Below are 13036 nucleotides of genomic sequence, written 5' to 3' on the forward strand. Positions count from 1 at the left end.
GAGTTTATCATGCTGCTTCTGGGGTGAGGAAGAAACACAAAACATTTAGATCTTTCACCTGGTTGCCCACAGATACCGTGAGTAGCCAACCCTGTGGTCAGTTTCCCCTTCTTCCTGATAGAGAGAGCCCTGGTTTTGATCAGATACCCGTTCTCCCCTGGGGAAGGGATCGCCATCTTCAGCTAAGGGATAAATCATGACTCACCTAAGCCAGGTGTGGTTATTCCTTTTTCCTTTTCAGAGACTAATTTGCACATAGATGCAGTGCTAGCCAATGACAGTTGAAGGGAAGTTCTGCCTGGGACTGCAGAAAGGTCTCCTTTCTCGAAAAAGGATTCAAGAAGGGGCCAGGTGTGGTGGCTCATGCCTGTAACCCCAGCACTTTGGGAGGCCAAGGCAGGCGGATCACTTGAGGCCAGGAGTTCAAGACCAGACTGGCCACCATGGTGAAACCCCATCTCTACTAAAAATACAAAATTATCCAGGTATGGTGGTGCATGCCTGTAATCCCAGCTACTTGGGAGGCTAAGGCAGGGGAATCGCTTGAACCCGGGAGGTGGAGGTTGCAGTGAGCCAAGATTGCACTATTGCACTCCAGCGTGGGCAACAAGAGTGTGACTCTGTCTCAAAAAAAAAAAAAATGCAAGAAGAAACTGTTCCTCTTATACTTCAGTTATTACAGGAATTGTCTGCAGTCCCCAGATGTGTGGTAGCCCCTTGGCACCATGAGCTGAACTGGCAGGCACTTGGAGGGAGGGTCAAGCAGAAAAACAGAAAAAATCTGAATTTTCAATGATGCCTTTGGGCCCCTGAATTGACCAATCCAGAGGTTCCCTACCTCTGGCCTTCTTATGTGAAATAAATTTTCCTTCTTATTTCAGGTAGGGCTTCCAGGTACTTGTATCCTGATTGATGCTGTCACTCTCACTGGAAAACAATTGGAAGGTAAGAACCATGGCTTCCACCTCTCTGGATTCCAGTACCCTACACCAAATCTGGCTTATTATAGGTGCTCAACAGGTGGGCGGATGTATGGGTGGGTGGCTTAATGGATGTATGGGTGGCTTGGGGAGTAGATGGATGGATGAATGGGTGGGTGAGTGGATGGATGGGTGGGGTGGTTGGATGGGTGGGTGGATGGATGGATGGGTGGGGTGGATAGATGGGTGGGTGGGTAGATGAGTGGATGATGGATAGGTGGGTGGATGTAGGGATGAGTGGGTGGGTAGATGGATGAATGGGTGGCTGTATGAATGTATGAATGGGTGGTCGGGTAGATAGGTGGGTAGATGGATGAAAGGGTTGGATGTGTGTGTGGGTGGATGGTGGCTGGCTGGCTAGGTGGATGAGTGGCTGGATAAATGTATGGGTGGGTGGATGGGGGTTAGATAGATGAGTTGGTGGATGGGTGAGTGACTGGGTAGATGAATGTATGGGTGGCTAGATGGCTGGATGGATGGCTGGGTAGGTGGATGTGTAGGGTGGCTGGGTGGCTGGGCAGATGAATTAGTGGGTAGATGGGTGGATGGGTGGCTGGTTAGCTGGATATATGGGTGGGTGGGAAGGTGGGTAGATGGATGTATGGGTGACTGGATGGGTAGGTGGGTGGATGGATGGGTGGATGAATGGGTGGGTGGGTAAATGAGTGAGTGGATGGATAGGTAGATGGGTGGATGGATGGGGTGGATGGGTGGATGGATGTGGTTGGTGAATGGGTGGGTGGCTGACTGGCTGGCTGGATAAATGGATGGATGGGTTGGTGGGTGCGTGGGTGGCTGGGTGGCTGGCTGACTGGATGGATGGATGGATGGATGGATGGATGGATGGATGGATGGATGGGTGGATGGGTGGCTGGACGGATGATGGATGGATGGATGGATGGATGGATGGATGAACGGGTAGCTGGCTGGCTGGTTGGATGGATAGGTGATGGGAAGATGTGCAGGTGAGTGGGTGGGTAGATGGATGAATGAATGTGTGGATGGAGCTCACCATCTCTCATGGCAACCTTATCACAGCATCTGCTCTTCTAGTTCTCATTGTATTCTCAATTCAGGTTAGAGTGGACTGAAGAGGCATAAAGTTTCAAACTCAGGAGACTTGCATGAAGCCTTCACATGAACACAGGCCTGTTCTCCACTTGGAGATGACAGGAAACTTTCCCAACAAAGGCCTCAGAAACAGTGTCCTTGCCTGGGGTTTCCTGCAGAACTCTGCTTCTCCCTTGAAGATGGGGCACTCCCATCTCTTTGGGGCCCCTCCCGGGTCTCTGCCTCCCAACACACAAAGCAGGAGTTGTCCACCCCCACCGTAAAGAAACCAGCTGTGGGATCTTTCAGCAGGTCTCCGCTTGTTCCAAAGCCTCAGTTTCTACATTGGATAAAGGGGAATGGCAGCGGCCCTAGAGAAAAGACCTTTTTTTTTCTTTTTTTTTTGAGATGGGGTTTCGCTCTGTTGCCCAGGCTGGAGTGCAATGGCTCCATCTCGGCTCACTGCAACCTCTGCCTCCCGGGTTCAAGCGATTCTCCCTGCCTCAGCCTCTCAAGTAGCTGGGATTAAAGGTGCCTACCACCACACCTGGCTAATTTTTGTATTTTTTAAAGTAGAGACAGGGTTTCATCATGTTGGCCAGGCTGGTCTCGAACTCCTGACCTCAGGTAATCCACCTGCCTCGGCCTCCCAAAGTGCTGGGATTACAGATGTGAGCCACCGTATCCAGCTGGGATGACCTTCTTAGACAGCCTGTGTCACAGAATTTGTAGTTCCCTTTAAAGATGATGCTTGGAATAACCCACTTCCAGCAAGAGTGGACAGCAGCAAGAAGACTTTGTTTCATCCTTCAGCTGAGTCGTAAGTTGTTTCCTTTTGTACATGTCACACATGAAGAAGAGAGCAAGCCCTGGTGCAGGATGGCACCTGTGGCTATGAAACAGAAGAAAATCTATGGCCCTACTAGGGATTGACCCATGACCTTGACCTTTTGGGCAAGGAGCACCGACAGCTAAGCCATCATCCCCAACAGCCCAGTGTGCATCAGATGGTATGGACGTGCAGCCTGGAACAGCCCCCTGGAAGACAAACAGCCAAGTCATTAATCAGTTGCTTTACCCCTGTACTCTGTGTGTTTGTGTGTGTGTGTGTGTGTGTGTGTGTGTGTGTGCGTTTGTTGGGGGATGGGGTAAGGGTATTGTGTGCCTGTGAGTATGTGCCCAGCCCTCCAGACCAGGGTCCTCAAAGGGACCTGCCCCAGTGTGAAGGAAAGACCCCGCCCAGCAATGAGGGAGTGGCCAGGACATCTTTCCACAGCATCTGGGAGGAACGGGCAGGGCCGGATATGGGCTGCCGACCTTCTCCCTTCCTCCTGAAGAGGAAGCTCCTCCTGCGCCACCTTTGTGCTGACCGCTGGGTGGTTACGAATGTGTTCCCTGCCTGTCGTTCTCTTCCTGAGCAGTGAGGAGCAGCTCACTCAGCCCAGCCCAGCCCCCACTCCTGAGATCCAGCCCATGAAGGAGCTCTGTGTCCTGGCTTCTGACCAGGCTGATGGGTGGGGTGGGAGGCAAGGACCAGAGGCTGAGTCAAGGCCTTCACCCAGCCTCTTCTGGAGCATGGCTCCCTCACCTCTCCCATAAAAAATAGACATAAGGTCGGAAAGGACTTCCCTGAACTAACAGGACAGGGCCTGCAGAAGGCCTGAACCCTGGCCAGCAGACAGGTGATGAGCATGTCTACACCAGGAAGGTGGGGAATAAATTTTATTTTAAAAATTAAATTAAATTTATTTAAGAGACATGATCTTGCTCTATCACCCAGGCTGGACTGCAGTGGTGAGATCATAGCTCACTGCAGCCTTCAACACCTGGAGTCAAGCCATCATCCTCATGCCTCAGCCTCCTGAGTAGCTGAGACTACAGGTGCATGCCACCATGCCCAGCTAATTTAATTTTATTTAATATAACACTCCAATACCATGTATCATGTGCCCTTTATAATTATGAACTGATATTATATAAGCCTCATAACAACCCTATGAGAAAGGTGCTCTGATTATGCCCACTTCATATAGGAAGAGGCTGAGGCACAGAGAGGTTAAGCAACTTACCCAAGATCACCCATCTAGTAAGCAGCAGAGCCCAGATCTGAATTCAGGCTGCAGAGTTGAAGCTTTTACCTAATATGCAATGCCACCTCCCAGAGGCACAAAAATAAAAGCATTGCTTGAACACCAGATGTGTGCCAGGCACTGTCACAGAGTCCTACCTGGAGCTCACTAACCAGGTACTCTCAAATACATGATTTCATTTAGTCGTCACAAAAAACTCATAAGGAAACTGAAGGTCAGACTAGTATAAGTTGTAAAGAGTAAGTTGTATAAAGATGCACAGCCAGTCACTGGCCCAACACAGGTCTCTCTGATGGCAAGACAAGATGGCTTTCCTCTCCACCGGGAGTACGTATCCTAGAAGCAGTTGCCAATGAAGGGAAGAGGGGCTTAGATCATTCAAGTAGCCTGCCGAGGTCAACAGACAGCAGAGGGCTGAGCCAGGATTCAAACACAGGCCTTTCTGATGCCTCTATGAGCCACTGCCAAGGCTTGGGGCTCTTCCGGGCCCAGCTCTTCCCAGGACTGCAATTCCCCAGGCGGGGCTTCCTTTGGAGGAAGAAGAAGCGGAAATGTCATGCTCTGGACCCACCTGGTAAAGAGAGGTTGACCGTGGCAGTGAGTACTCGGGGCACCTGGGGCCAGCTGACCCTTGTGCTTCAGACACAGGTGTTGGGCTCGGTGGGAAGGTCTGTTGGTCCTCTGCTCTTACCTGAGCATCTCCTCTTTCTCTCCAGCCCCAGCTCTTGGCATAAACAACACTTTGGAGACCCTCAGTGCAATTTAGCTCCCTTAACTTTTTTTTTTTTTAAAGGGCTCACACCTGTAGCTCCAGCAGATTGGGAGGCTGAGGCAGGAGGATCGGTTGAATTCAGGAGTTCAATACCAGCCTGGGCAACATAGTGAAACCTCCATCTCTACAAAAAAAAAAAAAACAAAAAACCCAAAATTAAGTAGGCATGGTGGTGTGTGCCTGTGGTCCCAGCTACTCAGCGGGGGGGGTGAGGCAGAAGGATCGCTTGAGCCCAGGAGTTTGAGGTTGCAGTGAGCCATGATCGTGACACTGTACTCCAGCTTGGGAGACAGAGTGAGACCCTGTCTTAAAAAAAAAAAGTGTGTGCGCTATTTTCTGAAAAACAGGAGCAGACAAAAAGGCCCCATCAATTTCTATTTTGCCCTGGGCCCCTTAACCACAACTCCATTTGGGAATGGCCGGTAGAAGAGTTCAGTCTCGGCACTGTGGGAGAGCAGGCTGGGGGGCAGCTCAGCCTGGGTTACCGACCCTCTAATCCCCCAATGGTGGAATGTGCTTGATTCCAGGAGGCTAAGGTTTGGAGGGTGGGTGAGCTGCAGAGGCTGCTATGGCCCTGCTGTTTGACGCTTCATGATAGATGAGCCCCCAGTCCTCCTGTCTCTGTGTCCCCCCTCCTCCCCCACCGCCCCCCTCACTCTGTGAGGTCTGGCTTGTGCAAGGAAGCCTGTCAGTGTCAGGACACGTTGGCCTCATGGCCCGCAGCGGGAAGGGGGCCTCTGAGGGATGCCTGCTGTCTGGCCCTCTCCTCAAGAGGGGTCCTCTCACCCTATGCCTCAGGGTCCTGGGCGCTTCCCTTTCAAAGCTGCAAAATGATCGCCATTAATGCAGCTTGTCTCCTGGAGGCGCTGAAAATAGGGTAAGGGAGGAAGGGCCCCTGACTGCCTGGCCTCCGAGAACCGGCATCGGTCTGGCTTAGTTGAGGCTGGATGTGGAAGAGAGAAGGGCACAGGCTAGCTTGGTGGATGTTGAGTGGGGATTTTGCCCGAGGGGGTGGGAGCCATTAGGACCACCCTGGGGACTGCTGTGAGTTCAGCTGTGGACTTCTGCAGAGATGTGGCCGCCATCTGGCTGCCAATGAAAGAACCATATTGAAGCCTGCCATGCTGGGAGCAGGGGAAGACAGGCCACATCCCCAGGGTCAGCACCTGCACCTTCCGGAGACTCAGTGCCTCCCAGGGGCCTCCGTGCCTCACTCTGGCCCTAACCTGAAAGTCCCATTCACCTCCAACAGAAAGCTCACCTGGGACTGCCCTCATACCCCACTCTGAGATCCACTCTTTCGATCTGAGGGACCTCAGAGGAGCCCAAATGGAGGAGCTATTCAGTCTGGAAAACTGGGGACCCACTTTGTACATCTGCATGAGGAGGCCCTGGGCTGTCAGGCTGGGAGAGGTGGGTCTGGTGGAAGAAGTACCATCCAAGGCAGCTCTGCCTTCCAGGAGCCTGCAGTCTCATCAGAGGCCAAAGGTTACAATCCAGACCAGCCCTGAGCCATAGAAATGTAGCATGAGTCTCACTCTGTCACCCAGGCTGGAGTGCAGTGGCACATACATGGCTCACTGCAGCCTCCAACTCCCGGGCTCCCAAGTAACTGGGACCACAGGTATGCACCACCACCCCTGGCTAATTTTTAAAATTTTTTTTGTAGAGATGAGGTTTCGCTATGTTGCCCAGGCTGGTCTTGAACTCCTGGGCTCAAGCAATCCTCCTGCATTCGCTTCCCAAAGTGCCGGGATTGCAGGAGTGAGCCGCTGTGCCTGGGAAGATGCATGTATTTAATATGAGCCATGTATTTAATTGTAAATTTCTAGATGGCACATTTAAAATGGAAAAAGGAGCAGAGGAAATTAATACATTTTATTTAATCCAATACAGATGAAAAATATCGTTTCAACATAAAACATAAATGTAAGCATATTAATATTTTACCTTTTTACCTTTTTCTGTACTGTCTTCGAAAGCCAGTGTATGCTTTACAGTGACATCACATCTCGATTTGCTCTAGCCACGTTTCAAGTACTCAGGAGCTGCATGTGGCTAACAGCTAGCGTATTGGATGGCACAGCTCTAGACGCTGTGGCTTGGGCCATGGCAACAGCACCTTTATTTTTTGTTTAACTTTTCTTTTAAGTTCAGGGGTACATGTGCAGGTTTGTTATATACGTAAACTTGTGTCAGATATTAAGCCTAGTATTTATTAGTTATTTTTCCTGATCCTCTCCCTCCTCCTCCCACCCAGCACCTTCCTTTCAACAGAAGAAAATTCCAGATGGAATGCACAAGGTACAGTGGGTTTGGAGGCATGGAGAAGCCGGTAGAACTTCCTCCTTGGAGGCTTTCAGTCTGGACTGGGCTGCTCCTCCTCCTGGCAGGCTGAAGGCAATCTAGCTGAGAGTATGGCTCCTGAGCACTGGTCCCAGGCCTGGGTTCTAGAATGTCTCTGTCTGCAGGGCTCACTTGCTGCTGTGTGTGTCACCCGAGAGGCAGCATAGAGTAGGAAGGGGGGCACTGGATGGGGGGTCAGGACATTCAGGTTCCAGCTGGGCTCTGAATTCTGCACAATCGGGCAGATCACATCCCTTTCTGGGCCTCAGTTTCCCTGTGGGCAAATGAGCAGGAAGGCAATTACTCAATACCCCCATCTCCCACTCTCCCCTTGAAACCCCAAGGACTCATTGAGTGGCATGGGTCGGGATGATACAGGATCTCCTGCATGCTCAGGGCAAGTCCTGTGGCGCTCTCCTGGGTTGGCACTCTTTGCCACCTGCCAAAAACAACCTCCGCTTCCACACTGGCCTGACACAGCTGGAGTCAATTCACTGATATTTACTCAGCCCTCCAGTGTGCCAGATCCTCCGAGTGCCGCTGCTCTAGTGACTCTCACGGTGGGGTAAGGCATCCTCACCCCACATGGAAATGGAGTAATTCCTGAAGATGTCCTCTTAGCCATCACCTGTCTAGCTTGGAGTAGTTGAGCAGATTCATGGAAAGACATATGCACCTCTTTGTCCTCAAGAAGCATATGATCCAACCTGGAGACTGATTATGTGTGGAAAGTCAATACTCCAGCAAGGTGAATGCCAAGAACAATCAAGGCAAGGGAGTGGAAAGGCTGCCACAGGCTGAGTGGTCGGGAAGGCTGCTGGAGGAGGAGCTGGGATCTGAGCCAGCTTGGAAGCGGGGACAAATCACTTCAGGGAGCCAGCAAAGGCACACAGGTGTGAAAACACACAGTGTATTAGAGCACCCAGCATAGGATCCATGACTTGAGCCCACGGTCAGCTCATGCAGTGCAGGGAAGCAGAGGCTCCAACTTTGGGAGGTAGAGGTGGGTTGGTCTGGGGAAGGCACGATTCCAAGCTAAGGAAGCAGGAGCAGGGAGCCACTGATGGTTCCTGAGCAGGAGCATGACATGCATATGGCGGTGCCAAGGCAGGTGAATGTGAAGGCAGGATGCTTGGAGAGGAAGGTGGGTGCAGAGGGAAATGGCCAGGAGCACCTGTGACAATCACTGTGACAATAACACTCAAAATGGAAAGCCCTTTCATGCCCCTTCTCATTTAATTCTCTTTCAACTCAGTGAAGTACATAGAATGGGTAGTATTGCTTCCTTATTAAAGATAAAGAAAATGAGTTTCAGAGGAATTAATTGATGTGTCCAAAGGGACCAGCTTGGAGAATCAGACTCAGGCTTTGTGTCTAAAAATACTGAACTCTTTCTACTATCCCACATCTTAATGGTCCAGGAAAATGGGGTCCCAAAAGGAGACAGAGATAACCAAAGAAGGCTCCCCAGAGGGGTGAAGTACATTGAGAGGAGAGTAGAACTCAGATGATCCAAGCATCCCTCAGAACTCTTCACACTTCAATACTGACCTGGTGTATCTGATCCAACTGGTGCTTACATGCCCAAGGTAGGAGTCAGTGAGGCCTAAATTTAGGTCTCAGCTGGCCATCAGCCTGCTGCATAGCTTTGGATGTTTTACGTAACCCGGCTGAGTCTCAGTGTTGTTTCTCATCTGCAAATTAAGATAGCTGGGCACTGTGGCTCACGCCTGTAATCTCAGCACTTTGGGAGGCCAAGGTGGGTGGATCACCTGAGGTCAGGGGTTCAAGACCAGTCTGGCCAACATGGTAAAACCCCGTCTCAACTTAAAAATATAAAAATTAGCCGGGCATGGTGGCACACGCCTGTAGTCCCAGCTACTCAGGAGGCTGAGGCAGGAGAATCGCTTGAACTGGTAGGCAGAGGTTGCAGTAAGCCGAGATCACGCCACTGCACTCTAGCCTGGGTGACAGAATGAGACTCCGTCTCAAAATAAATAAAATAAATAAATATAAATTAAGATACCTGGATATGAGGAGCTCGTAAGGAATGAATGAGATCATTATTAGTGAGAGCCCAGAGTGACCAATCTCTCAGCCAGCCCCTCAAGTCTACACTAGGCCAACCCCCATCGCTTGATGTGACACACAAGTCTGTTCCACACCCACGATTGACCAGAAGACCACCATCCTCCCCCTGCAGCTTCCCCTAGCCTCATGCCACCTCTGCCTTCCTCACACCTCCTCTCCTGCTGTCCCAAGGATGTGCACACCTACTCCCTGCTCCGTATGGCCCCAAAGAGCAGCGGGTGCAGAAGGCATTTCTCTAGTCTGGGAGGGCTTCCTAGAAATGCTGCTGAGCCCTGCGAATGCCTAATGACCATGGGAATCATTTAGCAAGAGAAAAAGCCAGACCTTTGCCCTGGCCCAGCTCACAGGTGATGGGGTTAATCGGGAATTCTTTCCCTCCTCAGGGCTGCTGGTAGGGGTCCAGCTCCCCGATGACCTGGGGACATATTAGTCAGTGATAAGTGGGGCTTTCCAGCCCCTTTTATCCTGTTTACAATACACTGGTTTTCCTTAGACAAAACCCTCCTTCCCTGCCTTGCTCCTGGCTGTTATGGCTACATGAGACAATTTGCTGATGGACTCTCTAGGGAGGACAACTTCCTTGGAGTCCCCTTCCCACCTCCTGCAGCACCCGGGGCAACATCCCCTCTACTTGGTGGGTCCTGGAGGGGGCCACAGATGCTTGTTTTTCTCAGCTCATTGCAGCCTCTGAATTCAGAAGTGCCACCCTGTCTGCTCAGCTTTAACCCAAGGGGGTGAGGAGAAATCCAGAGGTGACAAGATGATGTTTCCCTGGCTTTGGGGTGGGAGTGACTGGGGTCATTGTTGCTGTCCAGAGTGGAAGCCATCAGAGGTGTCCTGTTTATCTGTGTGACTCGGCCCTCTTTGGGTCACAAAGGCCAGATGATCCAGCAGCTACCTGGAGGGTGGTTTATGACAGCAGCCTGGTCCTAGTTCCCTTCTGCCACCAACAAGCTTGGCCAGCTTAGGCAGGTGAGTTAATTTCTCTGAAGTTTAGTGTCCTTGTCTAGAAAACTGGCATGGTGATGCCTGTCCTGCCTCCCATGAGGCGGATGGGAGCACAGAACGAGCCACGGCTGTCCCAGTGCCTAAAGGGGAGGCACTGTATTTGGCACTTTGCACTGATTCCAGGTGACGGCTCTTCCAGCAAGAATGGCTCCACCGCTAAGGGCAGTTTTTAATCGCCTAAAAGCCGACTTCCAAATAATTCTAGATTTCTGAAATGCCAAGCAGGTAGGATACTTAGGCGAATAAGTTAATGAAACGGAGTCCATTTCCAGGCAACAGAAGTTTCACAAGCACCTACCTCACACCGGGCACTGAGCTGGATACCAGGAAATGCAGGGATGTAAGACACATCTTCCACCCTCGGGCTAGTGAATGGACAACTGGGACCCCTGTGACGAGTGCTGAGAGGGAGCACCAGTGCTAAGGAAGCATGGGGAAGGGGTTCTAGCCCAGCCTAGAGGTTGGGGCCATGCCCCAAGGAAGGTGAATTCAGAATGGGACTTGAAGAATGAACAGTAATAGCTTAGGCCTGAGACAGAGGGAAGGGTGTTTGAAGCACAGGGAACAGTGCATACAAAGGCCAGAAGACACAAAGACCTTGTGAGGAGAGCTGCAATTATTCTAGTTAGGATGGCGGAAATGACCAGGATGAGGCCAGTACCGAGGGCTCTGTCTGCCACGATGAGGATATTACTGTGTTCTCTAGACACCAGGGTGCCATCAAAAGGCTTAGCATGGCAAGGCACCAACTGTGTTTCATTTTTTACTTTTTTATTTTTATTTATTTTGACAGAGTCTCACTCTGTCGCCCATGCTGGAGTGCAGTGGCACGATCTCGGCTCACTGCAGCCTCTGCCTCTTGGGTTCAAGTGATTCTCCTGCCTCAGCCTCCCGAGTAGTTGGGACTACAGACATGTGCCACCATGCCCGGCTAATTTTTGTATTTTTAGTAGAGATGGGTTTCACCATGTTGGCTAGACTGGTCGCAAACTCCTGACTTTGGGTGATCCGCTTGCCTCGGCCTCCCAAAGTGCTGGGATTACAGGTGTGAGCCACCGCACCCAGCCTACTCTGTGTTTTAGAAAGATCTTTTGGGGAACTTTGAAAAGGATGATTGAAAGTGCAGGGGGTGGCTGAAGAATGATGTGGGCATCTCGATGCACTCTCATATTTTAGTAAGGGAAGTGGGACATAGTCACAGCTGGCCCCAACGGTGCAAGGTGGCATGTGAGCATTGGCACAGGTGGGACACAATAGCGGGGCGGCCAGGAGGAAAAATAATCCGAAAGTGCGCTGGGAAGGGGAGTGACCAGGCCAGGAGAGTAGGGGGGCCACTAATAGTTTAAGAGAAGGGATAATAGAATTATCCTATTTCGGCTGGGCGCAGTGGCTCACGCCTGTAATCCCGGCACTTTGGGAGGCCGAGGCAAGTGGATCACCTGAGGTCAGGAGTTCGAGACCAGCCTGACCAACATGGTGCAACCCTGTCTCTACTAAAAATACAAAAAAATTAGCCAGGCGTAGTGGTGCATGCCTGTAGTCCCAGCTACTCGGGAGGCTGAGGCAGGAAAATCTCTTGAACCCGGAAGGCGGAGGTTGCAGTGAGCTTAGATCATGCCACTGTACTCCAGCCTGTGGGGCAGAGCGAGACTCCACCTCAAAAAAAAAAAAAAAAAAAAAAAGGAAAAGAAAAAGGAAAGAAAAGAAACTCTTTGCCTTAGCCAAGAGAAACCACACAGATTGCCTCCTGGGTCTACCTATACCCATTCCAACTTTATCTCACTGCCTGCCAGGAATGCCCTGTGCCTGCCTTTCCATACATCCTTGTAGTTCAAGGTCCAGCTGAAATCACATCTACTCTAGAAAGTCTTCCTTTGTCATAATAATTCAAAGGGATCTTTCTTTCCTGCATTCTGATAGAACTTAATTGTCCTTACTACTCATTACACACTCGTACACTGTCTTGCACTGTTATATTTTCATAAGCCCTGTACCCTCTCATCCCAACTACATGAGAAACTCTTTGAGGTTGGTTATCTATTGCTGCATAACAAACTAGCCCAAAAGTCAGTGGCTTAAAATTCATCCATTTTACTATATCTCTTGATTTTGTGGGACAGGAATTCAACCAGAGGCTCAGCTGGGCAATTCTATTTCAGATGGAGTCTACAGAGGTCACACAGTAGGATTCAGCTGACAGATAGACACAGAGGGTACGATATGGCTTTGCCCACATGTATGATGCCTTGGTGGGAATGGCTGGAAGACTGGACTCAGCTGGGAATGGTAACGGGAGCCCCTACACGTGGCCTTTCCAGCATGGTGGCCTCAGGTTGCTGGGCTTCTTCCATGATGGCTGGGGCTCCCAGAGTAAGTGCTGCAAGAAGCTGAGTGGAAGCTGCAGGGCTTCTTATAACCTGGCCTTGAAAATCCCAGAATTTCACTTCTTTCATATTCTGTTGGTCCAGGAAGTCATTAAGACCAGCGCAGGTTTAGAGGGAATAAAACTAGACTCCACCTCTCAATGGTAGCAGTAGCAAAGAATATGAGATCATCTCTATTTTATTACACAATTTGCCCTAAGACCTAGGCAAGCAGGGTCCCTAGCTCAGGCCCCAGGCCAGATTCTCAGGGGACCCCACACTTTTGAGTGCTCTTCTTGAAATATTCTAAGTTCTCTTCAGTGGCTGGGATCATCC

General features: G+C 50.7%; 1 protein-coding gene and 2 long non-coding RNA genes across 4 annotated transcripts in view; 2 read left to right on the top strand and 1 right to left on the bottom strand.

Annotated features, from left to right (window-relative positions):
* LRRC37A2 (leucine rich repeat containing 37 member A2) overlaps positions 1 to 13036 on the top strand; it is a 676337-nt gene that overhangs the window by 529863 nt on the left and 133438 nt on the right. The window lies entirely within an intron of this gene.
* LINC01974 (long intergenic non-protein coding RNA 1974) lies at positions 7088 to 10147 on the bottom strand. 2 transcript variants are annotated; one of them, NR_184096.1, is made up of 3 exons: positions 9928 to 10147; positions 8790 to 8932; positions 7088 to 7512 (listed from the first exon to the last, which is right to left on the bottom strand). It is a non-coding gene; the product is annotated as a long intergenic non-protein coding RNA 1974 (long non-coding RNA). The 2 variants fall into 2 exon arrangements; NR_184095.1 differs by having other exon boundaries at positions 9265 to 10147.
* LOC112268191 (uncharacterized) lies at positions 10173 to 12862 on the top strand. The gene is made up of 2 exons (XR_002958114.2): positions 10173 to 10301; positions 12458 to 12862. It is a non-coding gene; the product is annotated as an uncharacterized LOC112268191 (long non-coding RNA).

Source organism: Homo sapiens, chromosome 17, assembly GCF_000001405.40.
Source record: "Homo sapiens chromosome 17, GRCh38.p14 Primary Assembly".
NCBI classification, from domain to species: domain Eukaryota; kingdom Metazoa; phylum Chordata; class Mammalia; order Primates; family Hominidae; genus Homo; species Homo sapiens.